An 18,283-nucleotide genomic window follows, 5' to 3' on the forward strand; every position below is an offset into this window, starting at 1 on the left:
ATTGGTATGCCTCATTTATTTGTTGAAATTTTTTTCTTTGGCTTCCATGAAGTTTCTTTCTCTTCTGTATCATTCTACTTCTATGACTGCTCCTTCTCGAGTAAAACAGAATGTGTCTCAGGATTACTTTAAAACAAGACAAAGTATAGAGTTATACCTAAAATTTAGTATTTAAGTTATTGGATCAGAAAGGAAACTCGCATTTAGAGTATGAAGGCATTGTCAGCCACCAATTACTTTTGTAACCTGAAGCTAGTCTCCTTCCTACTCCGGACTGAATTTCTTCTGTATAATGCAAGCGATCTGGCATGATGATATACAAAGACCGATAAAATTTTGCTGGGGATTCTGAAAGTAAAAAAAATTGCCTTTGATATTATGTCCCCATGCTAAGTCCCTGGGGACTTTGACATTATCCCCCACTGAGCAGGGGTGAGGAAGCTGGCATTTACTAATAAGCTATGAAAGGGCAGTGCCTTTTGACATTTCAGCTCCACCCATAGCACACCCACTCAAGGAACATATAAATGAAGAGATCCGCTCAGTTCTCAGACAAGATTTTTCAAGCAAGATGAAGTCCATCATCCTCTTTGTCCTTTCCCTGCTCCTTATCTTGGAGAAGCAAGCAGCTGTGATGGGACAAAAAGGTGAGTGGAGAGGGTAAGCCTTGGGGAAAGCTACTTTAAAAAAATGGCCTCTAAGGATATTCAGGGTGCAAACAGTAACCTGTTCAGGCACAGATTCTTCTCCTTGATGAGAATTGATTTTTCTCCACCCAACGCTGTAGGCTTTTGGAAATATCAGAAATTTGTTGGGAAAAGGTGGGAGGTAAGAGTTGCAAGAGAGCTTTGGAGATAATGAATGCATACATTTCTATTATCAATTACCAGGTGGATCAAAAGGCCAATTGCCAAGCGGATCTTCCCAATTTCCACATGGACAAAAGGGCCAGCACTATTTTGGACAAAAAGACCAACAACATACTAAATCCAAAGGCAGTTTTTCTATTCAACACACATATCATGTAGACATCAATGATCATGACTGGACCCGAAAAAGTCAGCAATATGATTTGAATGCCCTACATAAGGCGACAAAATCAAAACAACACCTAGGTGGAAGTCAACAACTGCTCAATTATAAACAAGAAGGCAGAGACCATGATAAATCAAAAGGTCATTTTCACATGATAGTTATACATCATAAAGGAGGCCAAGCTCATCATGGGACACAAAATCCTTCTCAAGATCAGGGGAATAGCCCATCTGGAAAGGGATTATCCAGTCAATGTTCAAACACAGAAAAAAGGCTATGGGTTCATGGACTAAGTAAAGAACAAGCTTCAGCCTCTGGTGCACAAAAAGGTAGAACACAAGGTGGATCCCAAAGCAGTTATGTTCTCCAAACTGAAGAACTAGTAGTTAACAAACAACAACGTGAGACTAAAAATTCTCATCAAAATAAAGGGCATTACCAAAATGTGGTTGACGTGAGAGAGGAACATTCAAGTAAACTACAAACTTCACTCCATCCTGCACATCAAGACAGACTCCAACATGGACCCAAAGACATTTTTACTACCCAAGATGAGCTCCTAGTATATAACAAGAATCAACACCAGACAAAAAATCTCAGTCAAGATCAAGAGCATGGCCGGAAGGCACATAAAATATCATACCCGTCTTCACGTACAGAAGAAAGACAACTTCACCATGGAGAAAAGAGTGTACAGAAAGATGTATCCAAAGGCAGCATTTCTATCCAAACTGAAGAGAAAATACATGGCAAGTCTCAAAACCAGGTAACAATTCATAGTCAAGATCAAGAGCATGGCCATAAGGAAAATAAAATATCATACCAATCTTCAAGTACAGAAGAAAGACATCTCAACTGTGGAGAAAAGGGCATCCAGAAAGGTGTATCCAAAGGCAGTATTTCGATCCAAACTGAAGAGCAAATACATGGCAAGTCTCAAAACCAGGTAAGAATTCCTAGTCAAGCTCAAGAGTATGGCCATAAGGAAAATAAAATATCATACCAATCTTCGAGTACAGAAGAAAGACGTCTCAACAGTGGAGAAAAGGATGTACAGAAAGGTGTATCCAAAGGCAGTATTTCTATCCAAACTGAAGAGAAAATACATGGCAAGTCTCAAAACCAGGTAACAATTCCTAGTCAAGATCAAGAGCATGGCCATAAGGAAAATAAAATGTCATACCAATCTTCAAGTACAGAAGAAAGACGACTCAACTATGGAGGAAAGAGCACGCAGAAAGATGTATCCCAAAGCAGTATTTCTTTCCAAATTGAAAAGCTAGTAGAAGGCAAGTCTCAAATCCAGACACCAAATCCTAATCAAGATCAATGGTCTGGCCAAAATGCAAAAGGAAAGTCTGGTCAATCTGCAGATAGCAAACAAGACCTACTCAGTCATGAACAAAAAGGCAGATACAAACAGGAATCCAGTGAGTCACATAATATTGTAATTACTGAGCATGAGGTTGCCCAAGATGATCATTTGACACAACAATATAATGAAGACAGAAATCCAATATCTACATAGCCCTGTTGCTTAGCAACCACTTGAAAAGCTGGACCAATAGCAAGGTAAGTTTGCTTTTCTTACCAAATAGGAGAGGTGCCTGTCCCAAAGTTGGGGACTCTCCAGGAACATGGTAGGACTGATAACCATTGTTCACATCAATAGAAGTGCTATATTACAAGTGGTGGGAAGATGAACACCATTTCCTGGCGAGTAGAGGACCTGGTAGTGGCAGGGAAGGCTGCTTGGACTATCACTGGGTCCTAGAATTCCTATTCTTAATTGAGTATTCTTCAATAATATTTTTATACATGCCTACCTGCTAAAGATTTTTTTGAACATGCACTGACTATATATGCATATTTATGAGTTTATGGTATACTCTTGTCAATTCTTATACTTTAGATTAGTAAACCTCAAATTCTTTCTCATATAGTATGAAATATTACAGCAGTTAATATTTTCTTTCTGCACATACATGAATGTTCTTGCATCCCTGTTAGAGTTCATCTATGCTCCTTCAGAGACCACAAGCCCAAAGACTAGCAGTCCACTCTCTCTGAATATAGGAAAGATATGAGTAGAAAGAAGGATTCCTGTTCAGATTGTGAAAAAGGAAGTGGAAATGGAGGTGCAGGAGATGCTGAGAGATCTCAGGTGCTAACTGGACACTTGCAATGTCAGGAGAGGAAAATTTTAACCTGGATTGGGGAAATGGTTCTTCCATGCCCCTTTGCAATAAGTAACACTGTACCTGAAGAGAGGGTAAGCAGCAGAAACAATGGTCCCAGCTGATAACTAGTGACCTGGTGTCCTAATGATCAGGGGGCTGGTGCAGTTGACGCTAAAGGGGACAGGGGTCCCAGCTCTCCCATCCTCACCCCCACTCTCCACTATCCTCACATATCTGGTTGTCTTTTTTCTCCCTAGGTGTCACCCGACCTCAGTGAAGTCTTTGATGTTTCTGAGAGGCAGACTCCCATGTGGTCCCAGATCCTTGGTCCATGGATGACACCACCTTCCCATGCTTCCTTGCATTAGGCTTTCTAAACCCGGAGCCCCTTCAAACTTCCAATAAAGGGATCATTTTCTGCTTTATCTGCTTTTGGCTCCAGTGATCTCTGAATTCCTAGTGGCTCAAGGGGCTGAGGTCATTTCTGATAAAAATGGTTTTGGAAGAAAAGAATGGGATATTTTTTAAGCATTAGGGAGAATAGCAATCAAAGCCACATTTCTAGATGTATTGATAGAAATCCAACACTAAAAACAAGATGCTATTACTCTGCCAGGCACACATCTACTTCCTGATGCCAACCCTAAAGTCTCTCGTGACCTCTGTACTAACAGGACCCCAGGATCTAACAGTCCCCCAGAAAGAACAGAGAAAATGTATTGCAACAAGCCCTAGGAAAGTCCCTGATCTACTAGTGCCATGAGTATTCCCCAAGTCCACAGCAGCATATCTCTTCACTTAGCTTAAGAACTGTCCTACTCCTACAGCATACATTTAGATGCAATCACACCAAAGAGTGATATGTCAAGTCTCCACCACTTCAGCAAGAGTGAGTGGATTTAAAAATGTTATCTGTGATGGAAAGACCAGACGACCAGGCCAGAGTCTTGGGGCAGGTGGTGTGTTAATAATAGAAATTCTACTCCTTTTATGCCCTTTCACCCTTTATTCTAAGGATGATTCCAGGGAAAGCCAAACATCCAGGAGAAGAAGCCAACATAGAGGAATAAGAAAAATCACTAGTCTAGGAATAAGAGATCTGGATTCCATTCTAGCTCTGTTTTAAGAACTAGTATATCTTTAATTAAATCTTTTCTTTCCTGCAAGCTTAAGTCCCACATCTGCCCATGAAAAACTTTGACACAGTTAACTTCATAGTACATGCTGACTAAATATTGTAGAGCTTCCTTAAAAAGAAAGAAAGAGAGAGGGAGGGAGGGAGAGGGAGAAGAGAAAAAGAGAGAAGACAAAAAGAGAGAAAGAAAGCAAAGAAAGAGAAAGAAAGAAAGAAAGAAAGAAAGAGAAAGAAAGAAAAGAAAAGAGAAAGAAAGAGATGGAAGGGAGGAAAAAGGAATGAAGGAAAAAGAAAGGAAGGAAGGAAAATAAAGGAAGGGAAAGAAAGAAAAGAGAGAGAGAAAGAAGAAAGAAAAGAAAGAAAGAAAGAAAGAAAGAAAGAAAGAAAAAGAAAAACAAAGAAAGAAAGAAAGAGAGAAAGAATCTTCTCTATGAGGTCTGATATTGCTTGTAGGTGTGTGATAAAAGACTTGGTCATAGTGTTATGAGAATCCTGTCTCTCTTCACTGCATCCTTCCCAAGAACACAGAGGCCCTGTGATCAGCCACCTGCCTTATTTTACCAGCCCAGCAGTTAAAGAGGAGAGGCTGTGATGGGCTTAGGGGCCTTAGCATCAGGGAAGCTAGAATTACCTGCTACAGTCTGCTGAACAGACTCTCTTCTCTACATGTGGAGAGACATACATTCAACAGTTTCCCTGACATGTTGCTGATTGTGCAGGGAAGGAAACCTAAATTAACATGCAAATAACCAAGACAGCCAGAGTCATAAATGCTGTGGCTGTGGTACAATTAGCTTGAAATGTGGATCCCACCGCTTGCATAGTCTTGGAAAGTGGGGTCTCTGATGCAGAGTTCCTTCACCTTAACGTGGGGATAATAATAACCATCTCATAGACGTGCTTAAAGATATTGAGTGAGATGATCTCAACCCCAGTGCTCAAAAAAAAAAAAGTGCCAGGACAACAAATTTGGAAGTAATAATAATAAAATAATTTTTTATTATGCCTTCTTTGAAAAGGAGGTAAAATACATATAAAGAAAAGCACAGATCTTATGTATTTGCTTGAATGAGATTTGACAAACACATACATATGATTGCACAACGCCTAGATGAACGTATGGAACATTCATCTTGCCTTATGCTCCTTTCAAATTCAGTCCCAGTTCTTCAGGGGCAAATAATATATTGACTTCTAGAAACTCATAACTCACCTGTTTTTAATCCTTACATAATGAATTTATGGAATAACATTACCTTTTGTGTATCGCTGTTATTCAGTGTTTTTGAGATTCATTCTGTTTTGTATGTATCAGCAGTTCATTCATTTTATTGCTGAATAGTATTCCATTGTTTGAGTCTCCACATTTGTTCTTCTATTTATCTGCTGATAAACATTTGGTGTTCCCAGTTTGGGTCACTGTGAATTAGGATATCACATAAGTTCTTGTACAAGGCACAGTAATATATATTTTTAAATATCTGTGGTAAATACCTAGAAGTAGAATTTTCTCCCAGGGTGTGGCTTGTTTTGTTTTGTTTTGTTTCTTAATGATGATGTATTTGGAAGAGCTAAAGTTTTAAAGTGTGATGAAATCAAACATATTCATTTTCCTTTTAATATGAATATTATTGTATCTAAGAACTTTTGCCTTCTCCAAGGCTGCAGAAATGTTCTGTCTGTGATGTCCTTCCCTAGAAGCTGCATAGGTTTAGCATCTATACTAAGGTTTATGGTCCAACTTGATTAACATTCGCATTCCACTCAAGGTGCAGATCCAGATTCCTTTTTCGCAGATGCTCGTTTTTATTAGTTATTAATAATGCTGCTATGGGCATTCATGTGCAAATATTTGCGTGAATACATTTTCAGTTCTCTTGGGTATAATTATGGAAGTGGAATTTTTGATTCTGGTGTGCTATAAGGTTCTAACTATATTATTTTGCATGTGGATATCCAGTTTTCCCAGTATGATTTGCTGAAAAGATGACTTTTTCTACTGAATAGTTTTTCTACCCTTGTTGAAGATAAGTGAATTGACAATGTAATGGTTGATTTTTGGACTCCCAATTCTATTCCTTTGATATATGTGTCTATGCTTATGCTAGTACCACACTGTCTTGACACTGTAGCTTTGCCGTAAGTGTTGAAATATGGAAGTATGAGTCTTCTACATTTGCACTCTTTTTCAAGATTGTGGTTGCTATTCTGGGTTCTATGCATTTACACATGAACTTTAGGATTAACATGTCAATTTCTACAAAAAGTCATCTGTAACTTTATAGGAATTCCATTTAGTTTTTAGATAAAATATGGAAAATTGCCTGCCTAAGAATATTGAGTCTTCAATCCACAAACATGGAATGGCTCTCTATTTTTATGTCTTCTTTAATTTCTTTCATCATGATTTGTTGTTTTCAACAAATGTACATGTCTTGCCATTATTTTCTTAAATAAATTCCTGTGTATTTCATTCTTTTCGATGCTATTGTAAATGGATTTTTTTCATGATGCAATTGAAAGGTATAGGTTGATATTTTGTCCTGCACCTTGATGAGTTGTTTATTAGCTCTAATAATATTTTGGAGTTATGTGGATTCTTAAAAGTTTTCTACATATGTCATCATGTCAGTATTTCATGTATGGGAAATCTAATGGTGAAAAACATGAAGTATTCATATATCTGGGAGTACCTTAATTTTTCCCTAACTTGTGAAGGATAGATTTGCCAAGATATAGAATTCTTGGTAGACCGATATTTCTTTCACCACTTTTAATATGTTCTCTCACTATCTTCTGGCTTGCATGGTTCTAATGATAAATCAGCTGTTAAGCTTATTTATTAGTCATTTTGAGTTATTTATCTCTTGCTGCTTTCAAGAATTTCTCGGCCAAGCGCGGTGGCTCATGCCTATAATCCCAGCACTTTGGGAGGCTGAGGTGGGCAGATCATGAGGTCAGGAGTTAGAGACCAGCCTGGCCAACATGGTGAAACCCCGTCTCTATTAAAGATACAAAAAATTAGCTGGGCGTGGTGGTGTGCACCTGTAATCCCAGCTACTCGAGAAGCTGGGACAGGAGAATCGCTTGAACCCAGGAGGCGGAGGTTGCAGTGAGCCAAGATTGTGCCATTGCACTCCAGCCTGAGCGACAGGATGAGACTGTTTCAAAGAAAAAAGAATTTATTTTTGTCTTTGTCATTGATATTTCCATTATAAATTGTCTAGGTGTGGATCTCTTACAGTTTTTTCTTAGTGTTCATTGAGATTTTTATACATGGAGATTTGTGTTTTAAAGCAAAATCAAATGTTTTTAGCCATTACATCTTCAAATATCTGTCTGCCTCTTTCTTTCTCTCTCCTTTCTTCTGGGATTTCCATTATGCACATGTTTTTCCATTAGATTGTATTACACAGGTCTCTTTCTTTATCGTTCCTCAGAGTGTATAATCTCAATTGACCTATAATTATAGTAGTTGTTCCTCTCTTCTGTCTATTCCTATCTGCTGGTAAGACCCTCTTGTGACTTTCTGTATCAGCGATTTTACTTTACAACCTCATCATTCATCATGAATTTTTTTTATGATGTGAAACTGATTTTTATACTTTCTGTTAATCTTTTTGCCCATGATTTCCTTTAGTTCTTTGAGTATAATAACTGATATCTTTGTCCACTAGGCCATTGTCTGGGATTCCTAAAGGATCATTTCTATTTATTGTTTCCCCTCTTTTCTGTGTATGGGCAGTATTTCATGTTTCTTTAAACATCTCATAATTTTTAAATAAAATTGTACTTTCTACGTAATATAATTTGGCAGCTTTGGAAATCAGAATCTATCTTTAGCATTTGTTTGTGTGGTTTTTATTGCTGAATACTTGCTTAGTAACATTCCTGGACTAATTTTGTAAAGTCTGTGTTATGCATCGTGTACAGCCACTAAATTCCCTGTTTCGTTTGCTTACTAGTCAGATAATGAATGGACACCAATGATCTTAAGTCCTGTAAGCCATAAGTTGGCCTTTTGACTTTATCAACTAGTGAAGTTTTGACACAGTCATGAAGACATTAAGACATGAATTAAATGAGAAAAATTTTTCACGAATTAAACTTAAAGCCTGTGGTGCACAAGGAACTAGATTTTTCATAAATCTAGAAATTATCTTGCTAATAGATCAATATCTGGCTCTTACTTTCTGTCTGTGTGTGTTTCAATGTTAATGTAGTAAAAGTAAACACTTCAAATGCACCCTTATCTGAACATGGCTGTGAGGAGTCGGTTTCAAATGTTCTGGATACACAGTGGGAAGAGGGAAATTGGTCAGTCCTGATGCAGTCCCTGGGAAAAACAATGCCCTCCTATTACCTAAAAATTCGACAGTATAAAGTAAGAATTAGGAAGAGCCAGGACAGTTCTGCAACACCCCGAAAAAAGGAAAATCCATGGGGGCTCTGAAAAATTACACCCCAGAAGTTGTTTCACGTGGTTGCTTCCTGGAAGTGAAAGAAAACAGCTGGTGCTTCCGGGTCAAGTTGAGGCACCTCTGATCTCCAGCCCCCGGAGCCACAGCACCACCTGCTGGTGGGGCCCCGCTAGAGCTGACATAGACAGGTCCAGCCTCCAGGTGCGCCCAATCCCTTTTCTTGCATTATGAAGCTAAGCAGCCTCTCTCAACTCACTGTGACCGTCCCCCTTTGCCTCCTCCACATGGCCCAGCCTGGAGCCCTGAAAAGTGGCGGGTAGGGCGTGGCGACGCGTACTGTGGCTGGAGTTGGGGAGCATTTCCTCTGAGGAGTCCATGCGACGACCTGGCCCTCATGCCTGGAAGTCACTTGGTGTCCCCGACTCACCCTGTGGCATTTTTCTCCAGCTGCACAGAAACCTGAATGTTGCCCAGAGTTTTCTGTTGCCTGCCCTTTCATCCTGTTACCCATGTGCTGGCAGGATAAAATTTGCAAAGGGGTTAAATGGTGTTGCTACTACGAACGTCGGCATTAGTGTATGGAGTCCTGCTGGACTTTGGATTGAGGTTAGGAGCCCCAGATCTGCTGCCCGTGAAACCTTCCTGCAGAAGCATTGTCTTAGAAGGAGTTGAGAACTTCATGTTCCCCTAGAAAATCGTTGTGATCAGAGGTTTTAAATTGGGTCGACCCATAGATCTGCCTCTGGACAATGAAGCAAGACCTCCTTGCTTAGATTATGCACCTTCCATTTCACACAACGGACTTCACCCTTCTCCTCTCTGTAAAGAGGATATTTCAGCAAGATTCATTAAGATCCTCAACAGTTACCGGGTTTTTATTATTTTTTATTCCTATTTTCTACAGCTTATAATAATGAAACACTTTCCTCTTCATATTTACATTGTGAGTGTTTATATAATTTCACACTTCCTTAGGATGGCTTGCCTAGAATCCCTGATCCCCGTCCTTGATTCCTGGATAGCACATGCCAGTGTTCTTTGGAGAATACATAAGAGGATCCAGACAATGGCGTCCTATTGCCTCAAAATCTGCTGGATGAAGTAAAAATGATGAAGAGTTCTGTAACACCCTGAAAGGAGGCAGTCCATGAGGGCTCTCAGAAGTTACATCCCAGTTGTTTCACGTTGTCTCTTCCTGGAGGTGAAAGGAAACAGATGGTGCTTCCGGGTTAAGCGGAGGCACCTCTGACCTCCAGCCCCGGGAGTCAAAACGCCATCTGTTGATGGGGCCCCGCCAAAGCTGACATAGACAGGTCCAGCCTCCAGGTGCCCCCACACCGTTTTCTTGCATTATGAAGCTGAGCGGCTTCTTTCTACTCTCTGTGAACATCCTCCTTTGCCTCTGAATGACCCAGCCTGGAGTCTTGAGGAGTGCAGGTAGGGCCTGGCGACCCTGGGTGTGGCTGGGGTTGGGAACGTTTCCTCTGAGGAGTCCATGGGGTGACCTGGCCTGGAAATCACACATTGGTGCCCACTCATCCTACGGCTTTTTTTTTTTTTTTTGGAGTCTCGTTCTGTCACCCAGGCTGGAGTGCAGTGACGAGATCTCGGCTCACTGCATCCTCCGCCTCCTGGATTTAAGCGATTCTCCTGCCTCAGCCTCCTGACCTATGGCGTTTTTTCCAGCTGCACGGAAACCGGGATATTGCCCAGAGTTTGATCTTGACTGCCCTTTCACTCTCTTACCTATGCGCTGGCGTGATAAGAGTTGCAGGGGGTCAAGAAGTGTTGCTACTACAACTGTCGGCATCAGTGTATGGAGCCCTGGTGGACTTTGGATTGAGGTGAGGAGCCCCAGATCTGCTGTTCTCCTTGCTGCCCCTAACTCCTTCCCTCAGAAGCATTTGTCTTAGAGAGAACTGAGAACTTCCCATGCGTTTAGCAACCGTTGTGAGCAGGGCTTTTAAATTGGGTCAGTCCACGCATTTGCCTCTCTAAAGTGAAGGAGGAGGCTCAACAGACCTCTTTGCTCAGATATGCACCTTCCACTTCACATAATGGGCATCACTCTTCTCCTCTCTATAACTCTCTATAATGTCGACATTTCAACAAGATTATCTCTAAGGTACTCAATAGTTACTGGATTTTATTATTTATTTTCAAATCCTTTTACTTACAGTTTACAATCATGAAACATTTTCCTCTTTACATTTACATCGTGAGGTAAGTTTATAATTTCACAATTCCTTAGGATGGCTTGCCTAGAGTCCCTGATCCCCAGTCCCTGACTCTTTGGCAGCACCTGCCAGTGTTCTTGTGAGGAGAATACCTAACAGGAATCACGCCTCAATGCCCCCGGGACACAAAACCATGTGCCCTGTACATTTTGCATCTTCCTATATCTCTGGTTTCCTGTTCTCTCCCAAGATGGAAAGCCCTTCTTAACCAGGACTGAGGAGACACAAGTGCTACAGGCTCAGTCTGGGATAACTGGTCTCCATGTTGTCCATGATCGCTCAGGCCCAGAACTTCCTTTTAGCAAGAGTTAAATGCTTCTTACTATGATAACAAGACGAAGAAATAAAGCGTTGTATATTTAAAACTCTTTGAAAATCTAAGTCTGCTGGATTGATCTCTTGCTCTCCCTCTCTACTCAGCCATGTTGCATAATCCCTTAGGAACTGTAAAATGGACAGAGTTACTGTTTCACATTTAGTTTCATCAATTCCTGCACTTGTGTTTTTCTGATATATTTGTCTCTTTCAATATCTCCTGACACTCAGATTCTCTGTTGGTCAGATTCCAGGTGCATTTTGGAGTTAAATTCTCTGGGTTTGCATCCTATGAATGGCATGCCGATTAATCCTGTAATGGAAGAGCAAGGCATTTTTGCTTCAGTTTTTCTGGTACTACTGCTGGTGGCCTTTCCAAGTGTTGAAGTAATATGATCTGCGATTGGATTTGGAACTTAGGGTCAGAAACTGAGCAAGATGTACTTTAGTTCTAGGTACTTTCATTCCTAAAAATTGAGCCACCCTAAATTAGGAGAACAAAATCCTTGTGGTTCAGCCTACATCCCTTGAGTCTTTGCTTGAGGGTTGGGCCCTAGGTCTACCTAATAATGAAGTGTAATTAGCCATGAATTTTCCAAATTTATAACTCTGTGCTTCATTCTTCCTTAACTCCCACAAATGTTGCAGAGGTCTGGGAAAGTAATTTTCCAAAATTTTATTTATCTCTGACAAGTATCTTAACAATTTTGAAAAACTACTTTTTCCCAAGCATGTTTTAAACTGACATCTAATAATTTTATCATCATTGCATAGTTTCAAGAGATAAAAATTTAGGTATATGATAAATGTTGTCATTTAAATCAAATGGGTATCTTACTCTATGAGGTTTCTAATAGAATCTAACTACAATGTTCATTTGTTAGTAACATCTATTAGGGAAGAAAAAAAACATGTCCTTTTTCCTCATCATCTCTCTATCTTTCACATCAGAGAGGAGCTACCCTCTCTGCAAGAGCTTCGAAGAGAGAAGCTACCCTTTCTGCGAGAGCTTCAAAGACCAGCAGACATCCGAACACCCTGCCTGCAGAGAGGAGCCACCCTCTCCAGGGCCCCCTCTCTGTTGAGAGCTGAATACTCAAGGGATGATCTGCCTACAGAGAGTAACAACCCACTACAGGTCTCCTCTGAGCTCTTCTAACACTAAATAAAGCTCTTCTTCATCGTCTTCACCCTTCACTTGTCTGTGTACCTTATTCTTTCTGGATGCAGAACAGGAACTCAGGCAAAGGTGCCACCAGCCACAGAGGTTTCTGGAAAGAAAATGAACACCCCAAAGATCATGTAACACTTCTACTAATTTGGGTTTGGCTTGTTCTTGCTTTTCTAGTTTTTTGAGATGCATTGTTAGGTTACTTATTTGATATCTTTCCAGTTTTTTTATGTAGGGGCTTATTGCTATTAACTTGCCTCTTAATACTATTTTTGCCATGCTCCATAAGTTTCGTTTTTTTGTATTTCTACTTTTGATTGTTTCAAGGAATTTTTAATTTTATTCTTAATTTCTTTTTTCATCCACTGGTCATTCAGGAGCATGTCGTTTAATTTCCATATATTTTGTATAGTTTTGAATGTTCCTGTTGTTATTGATGTCTAGTTTTATTTCCTTGTGGTCATATAAGATACTTGATATGATTTTGATTTTTTAAAATTTTTTGAGACTTCTTTTGTATTTTAGCACTTGGTCAATCCTGGAGAATGTTTCATGTGCAGATACAACAAAAGTGCATTCCATAGCTGCTGGGTAAAATGTTTTGCAAATGTCTGTTAAGTTCATTTGATCTATAGTACAGTTTAAACTTGATGCTTCTGGGTTAATTTTCCATCTTGATTATCTTTCCAATACTGAGAGTAGGGTGTTAAAATCCCCACGTATTATTGCGTTAGAGTCTATCTCTCCCTTCAGCTCTAATAATGTTCACCTTATATATCCAGATGCTCCAGTGTTGGGTGCATATATATTTATAATTATTATGTTCTCTTGCTGAATTAGTCCCTTTACTATTACATAATGTTCTTATTTGTCCCTTTTTCCAGATTTTGACTTGAAGTCTATTTTGTCTGATATTAGTATAGCTACTCCTTCTTGCTTTTGGTTTCTGTTTGCATGGAATATCTTTTCCATACCTTCAATTCAACCCCATATATGTCTTTACAGGTGATGTGAGTTCTCGTGGGCAGGACACAGTTGAGTTTAGGTGTTTTACCCATTCAGCCAGTCTACATATTTTAAATGGTGAATTTAATCCATTTATATTCGGGGCTGTTGTTGAAAGGTGAGGGCTTAAACCTCTTATTTTATTGATTGTTTTCTGATTGTTTCATATATCTTTTGTTCCTTACTTCCTATCTTATTGTAAGTTTTGGGCTGGGTTGTTTTCTGTGGTGACAATTCTTGATTCTTTTCTCTTCCTCCTTTGTGTATCGGCTCTGCCAGTGAGTTTTAGAGTTTCTTAAACTTTCATGATGGTGGCAGTTGTCTTCTCACTTCCAGACATGACTCTCTTGAAAATATTTTGTAAAGCCAGTCTAGTGGTGATGAATCCCCTTAGCTATTGCTTATCTATGAAGAATTTTATTTCTCTTTCATTTCTGAAAGATAATTTTGCTGGGTATTCTTGTCCACTAGTTTTTTTTTTCTTTTAGTAATTTGAATATATTATTCCATTCTCTTCTGGACTATAAGGTTTTTGCTAAGAAATCCTCTGTTAGTCTGATGAGGATTTCATTATATGTGACATGATGCTTTTCTCTTCTTGTTTTAAGAATTCTTTCTTTGTCTGTGACTTTTGACAATTTGACAATAGCGTGCCTCAGAAAGGACCTGTTTGGGTTGAACCTAAATGGGGTGTTTTGAGCTTCCTGGACCTGTATGTCCATCTCACTGCCAATACTTGGGAAGTTTTCAGCTATTTTTAACATGTTATTTATACATTTTCCATTCTCTTTTCTTCTGGAATGCCCGTAATGTGAATACTTGTTCACTTAATTTTGAACAAATGGTGTCCCCAGAATCCTGTAGGCTTTCTTCATTTATTTTTATTCTTTTTTATCTTTTTGTCTGCTGATATTATTTCAAGTATCCTGTCCTCTAGTGTAGAAATTATTTCTACTCTGTTGTTAAAGTTCACAGTTGTATTTTTTTATTTTATTCATTGAATTCTTCAACTCTAGAATTTTTGTTTGGTACATGGCTGCGTGGCCAGCCTGGGAGTGTTCCTGCCAGGGGTAGCCCATGAGGCTGTTTCTCAGGCCCAGGATGTGGTCACACAGCTGCTTGGCTGACCCGGGTGTATGTCGGCTGGGGGCAACCTGAAAGACTGCTTCTCTGTCCTGGAATGCAAGCACAAGGCTGTCCAGCTGGACTTGGGGGTCTGTCTGCTGGAGGTGGCCCCAGAGGGCTGCTTCTTAGGTCTAGGATGCAGGGCACACAGCTGATTGACCCTCCTGGGGGCATGTCTGCCAGGGGTTGACCACAGGGCTGCTTCTCAAGCCTGGATTACAGGTGCAAGGCTGCTTGGCTGGACTCAGTGCATGTCTGCTGGGGCTTTCTGTTTCTCAGCCCCAGGATGTGAATTAATGGCTGCTCAGCCCACCTGAAGGCTTCCCCTGGTGAGGAAGCCTGTGGTGTTGTTTCTCAGTCCCAGGGCATGGCTGCACAGCTGCTCATGCAGCCTAGGGCATGTCTGCCAGGGGCAGCCCACAGGTCTGTATCTCAGGCCCTGATTGTGGGTGCAGGGCCATTGGGTAGGCCAGGGGCTTGTTTGAGTGGGTGGGGCACCATGGAAATGTTTCTAATCCCTAGACATGGATGTGTACCTGCTTCTCAGGCCTTGGAATGTGTCAACTTCTCAGAGGCCTGAGCACCACTTTCACTCAGAGGAGGGTGTGCAGCAGTTTGACTGGTTCAAGGGCAGGTTTACCCTGTGCGGGACTGTCATGCCATTCCTCCAGGCGGAAGTGAGGGCAGCGGGGGTTGTTTGTTCTACAGGACCAGAGTCACAGCCAGTCCTGTATCCACACTTGATGCTGCTGGGATTATGGCATTCAGCCACTGGTGTGGGCCTGGTGGAATGAAGACCAAGCCCTGTTGAGGGAAAAGTGCAGTGGCTACTGGGCTCCACAGGAGGGCGCACTCCACAGGTGGCTCTGGTCTCAAGATGGCACCTGCTGCAGCATCTTGGCTGACAGTGGGTAGGTGGACTATGAGGAGTGCACCCCTTGTGCTTTCAGTTCAAAGCAATGCACCTGCATGAATTCCTAGCAGCGTTTCAAACGGCTCAGGGCTTGTGTGTGAGTACTGCAGGATTCTCCGTAGTAAGGATTTTAGGTGTTTGTGGTGGTAGTGGAGACTAGTGCGGTTCTTTTGCTTACCTTTTCCCCACAATAGGATGTCCTCCTGACTCCAGATAGATCGGATCCAGGTGTGGAAGACAGGGCGGCAGATGCTGGATGCATCCATGCTGCCCTGCTAGACTTCCAATCCCCACAGGTGCATCTCCACTCCCCTGCTATATTCGAATACTCTTCCTTGGACTCTCTAATCGAGTTTCATCAGTTTATTCATTGCTTTGGTACTTTCTTGTGGGGAGAATGAGTGCCTGTCTTCTATAGTCAGTCGTCTTGGTGACATCACTGAGCTAAATTTCTTTATACTGCATATCCCATCCTGAATTATTGGAGTCTTTTTTAAAATAATTTTTATTCTTAACCTTCATACTAAAGATATGATTTGCATACCACCATTATAGTATTAGAGCATTCTGAATTTATGTAATTACTTCTACTACTAATGAGTTCTATACTTTTAATTTTTTTATTGTTACACATGAGTACTCTTTCTTTCATCTTTTCTTTAGCTTTTCTTGTAAGAGAGGGTTCCCCATCCGCCCCCCACCCCCACTCAGCCCACATAGCAGGAGGTGAGCAGAGAGTGAGTGAGCGTTACCACCTGAGCTCTGCCTCCTGTCAGATCAGGGGTGGCATTAGTTTCTCATAGGAGCAGGAACCTTATTGTGAACTGTGCATGCAAGGGATCTAGGTTGCATGCTCCCTATGGCCCCCACTGCCCCGCCCCACCACCCCCTCCCTCCCCACCCCTATCCATGGAAAAATTGTCTTCCACGAAATCAGTCCCTGGTGCCAAAAGGTTTAGGATCACTGTTGTAAGATATGCCTGTTAGTGATGAAGTTCTTCAGCTTTTGATTGTCTAGGAAAGTATTTCTCCTTCATTTCTGAAAGACAACTTTTCTGGGTACAGTATCCACGGATAACAGTTTTTTTTTTCTTCATCACTTTGAATATCTCATGCCACTCTCCTTCTGGCCTTTAAGGTTCCTGTTGAGAAGTTTGTATGTAGGTATATTGGAACTCCCTTATATGTTATTTGCTTCTTTTCTCTTGCTGCTTTCAGGATCCTTTCTTTGTCTTTGATCTTTTATAGTTTGACTATTATATGTATGTCTGGTATTTTTTGGACTGAATCTGATTGGTGACCTTTGACCTTTCTGTACCTTGATATATCAGGGGGTTTGCTAGGGCCTGTTGCAATACATTTCTCTGGTATTTCTGAGAGATTGTTAGTCCCTAATCTACTGGTGCCATCAATTCCACAAATCCACAGCAGCCCAACCCGTCACTTGGTTCAAGGACTGTGCTCCTCCTACAGTATCCATTAAGATCTTAAGATCTTGTACCAGCGATTGATGTGGCAACTCTCTACCATTTCAGTAAGCATGACTGGGTAAAACAATCTGTGAATAGACATACCAGAGGATGGTCTAAAAGAGTTTTGGGGGTTGGGAAGTCTTAAAATGGAAGCTCTGCTGCCTATACTGTCTTCTTCCCCTCTCCTAAGAAAGTTTCCAGGGAAGGATAAACCTCTAGGAGAAGAAGCCAGAATGGGAGAATAGAAAACCTTTGGACTGGGGATAGGAGATCTGGATTTTAGTTCCAGCTCTGCCATAAGAACCTGTGCATCTTCAATTAAATCTGTTTTCTCTCCAAGCTTAAGTTCCTCATCTGCACATAGAAAATTTGGTGTAGTAATTCTGATCATGCGTGCTAGCCCAACATTCTGGGAGTTCATTTAAAAAGAAGAAAGAAGGAAAGATAAAATAAAGAAAGGAGAGAAAGGAAGGAAGAAAGAAAGAAGAAAGAAAAAAGGAAGAAAGAAGGAAGAAAGGAAGAAGGAAGGAAACAAAGAAGAAAGGAAGAGAGGAGGAAGGAAGGAAAGAGTGAGAGAGAAAGAAAGAAGAAGGAAGGAAGGAAGGATCTTCTCTATCAGATCTAAATTTTGCCTGTAGGTGTGTGGTAACAGACATCATCACAGTGGCATGAGAACCTGTCTCCACTGCACTGTTCCCTAGAGCACGGATGCCCTGTGCTCAGCCACCTGCCTTATTTTTCCAGCCCAGCAATTGAAGAGGAGAGACCATGGTGGGCTTAGGGGCCTTAGCATCAGGGAAGCTATAATTCCCTGCTAGAGTCTGGTGACAAGATTCTCACTTTTATGTGTGGCCAGAGATACATTCAACAGTGTTCTTGACACACTGGTAATGGTATGGAGTCAGGAAGGGTATCTAAATTGATATGCCAACAAGCAAAAGAGCCAGAGCCATAAATGCTCTGGGAGAATACACTCAAGAATATGCTGGTTATTAGCAGGCGAACAATTAAAATTTTGGATCTCCTAGCAAAGTTAACAGTTCTATACATAAATGTACAATTAGCATGAACCTTGGTTTTCACCACTTACATAGTCTTGAGCAGCAAGGTCTCTGATGCTGAACTTCTGCATCTTTTTCTTTTCTTTTCTTTTTTCTTTTTTCTCACTCTGTCACCCAGGCTGGAGTGCAGTGGTGTGATCTTGGCTCACTGCAGCATTGACCTGATTTTCCCACCTCAGCCCCCTGAGTAGCTGGGATTACAGGTGCACGCCA

The 18,283-nt window shown here is 40.9% G+C and overlaps 1 protein-coding gene and 1 long non-coding RNA gene across 7 annotated transcripts in view; both read left to right on the top strand.

Annotated features, from left to right (window-relative positions):
- Positions 1–554: 554 nt before the first annotated feature.
- On the top strand, positions 555–3,640 carry SEMG2 (semenogelin 2). Its single transcript, NM_003008.3, has 3 exons — positions 555–647; positions 891–2,607; positions 3,473–3,640. Exons 1-2 carry the CDS (start codon positions 572–574, stop codon positions 2,561–2,563), a joined length of 1,749 nt encoding a protein of 582 aa, NP_002999.1. The 5' UTR covers positions 555–571; the 3' UTR covers positions 2,564–2,607; positions 3,473–3,640.
- Positions 3,641–10,018: 6,378 nt separating this feature from the next.
- LOC105372630 (uncharacterized) overlaps positions 10,019–18,283 on the top strand; it is a 59,516-nt gene continuing 51,251 nt past the window's right edge. For 3 of the 6 annotated variants that reach the window (XR_936763.3, XR_936761.3, XR_936768.3), the window contains exons 1-2: positions 10,019–10,208; positions 10,458–10,615. This is a non-coding gene — a long non-coding RNA (uncharacterized LOC105372630). Of the gene's footprint in view, positions 10,209–10,457; positions 10,616–10,950; positions 10,995–11,198; positions 11,377–12,274; positions 12,510–18,283 lie in introns of those variants that run through there. The other 3 variants (XR_936766.3, XR_936764.3, XR_936767.3) reach the window with 3 other exon arrangements.

The sequence above is a fragment of the Homo sapiens genome, chromosome 20 (assembly GCF_000001405.40).
Source record: "Homo sapiens chromosome 20, GRCh38.p14 Primary Assembly".
Taxonomy (NCBI): domain Eukaryota; kingdom Metazoa; phylum Chordata; class Mammalia; order Primates; family Hominidae; genus Homo; species Homo sapiens.

Excerpts from the sequence above, each read along its gene's own strand:
- SEMG2 (NM_003008.3), top strand. The coding sequence starts at position 572 with ATGAAGTCCATCATCCTCTTTGTCCTTTCCCTGCTCCTTATCTTGGAG. Across the intron at positions 648-890 it reads AGCTGTGATGGGACAAAAAG|GTGGATCAAAAGGCCAATTG; the intron begins GTGAGTGGAGAG and ends ATCAATTACCAG.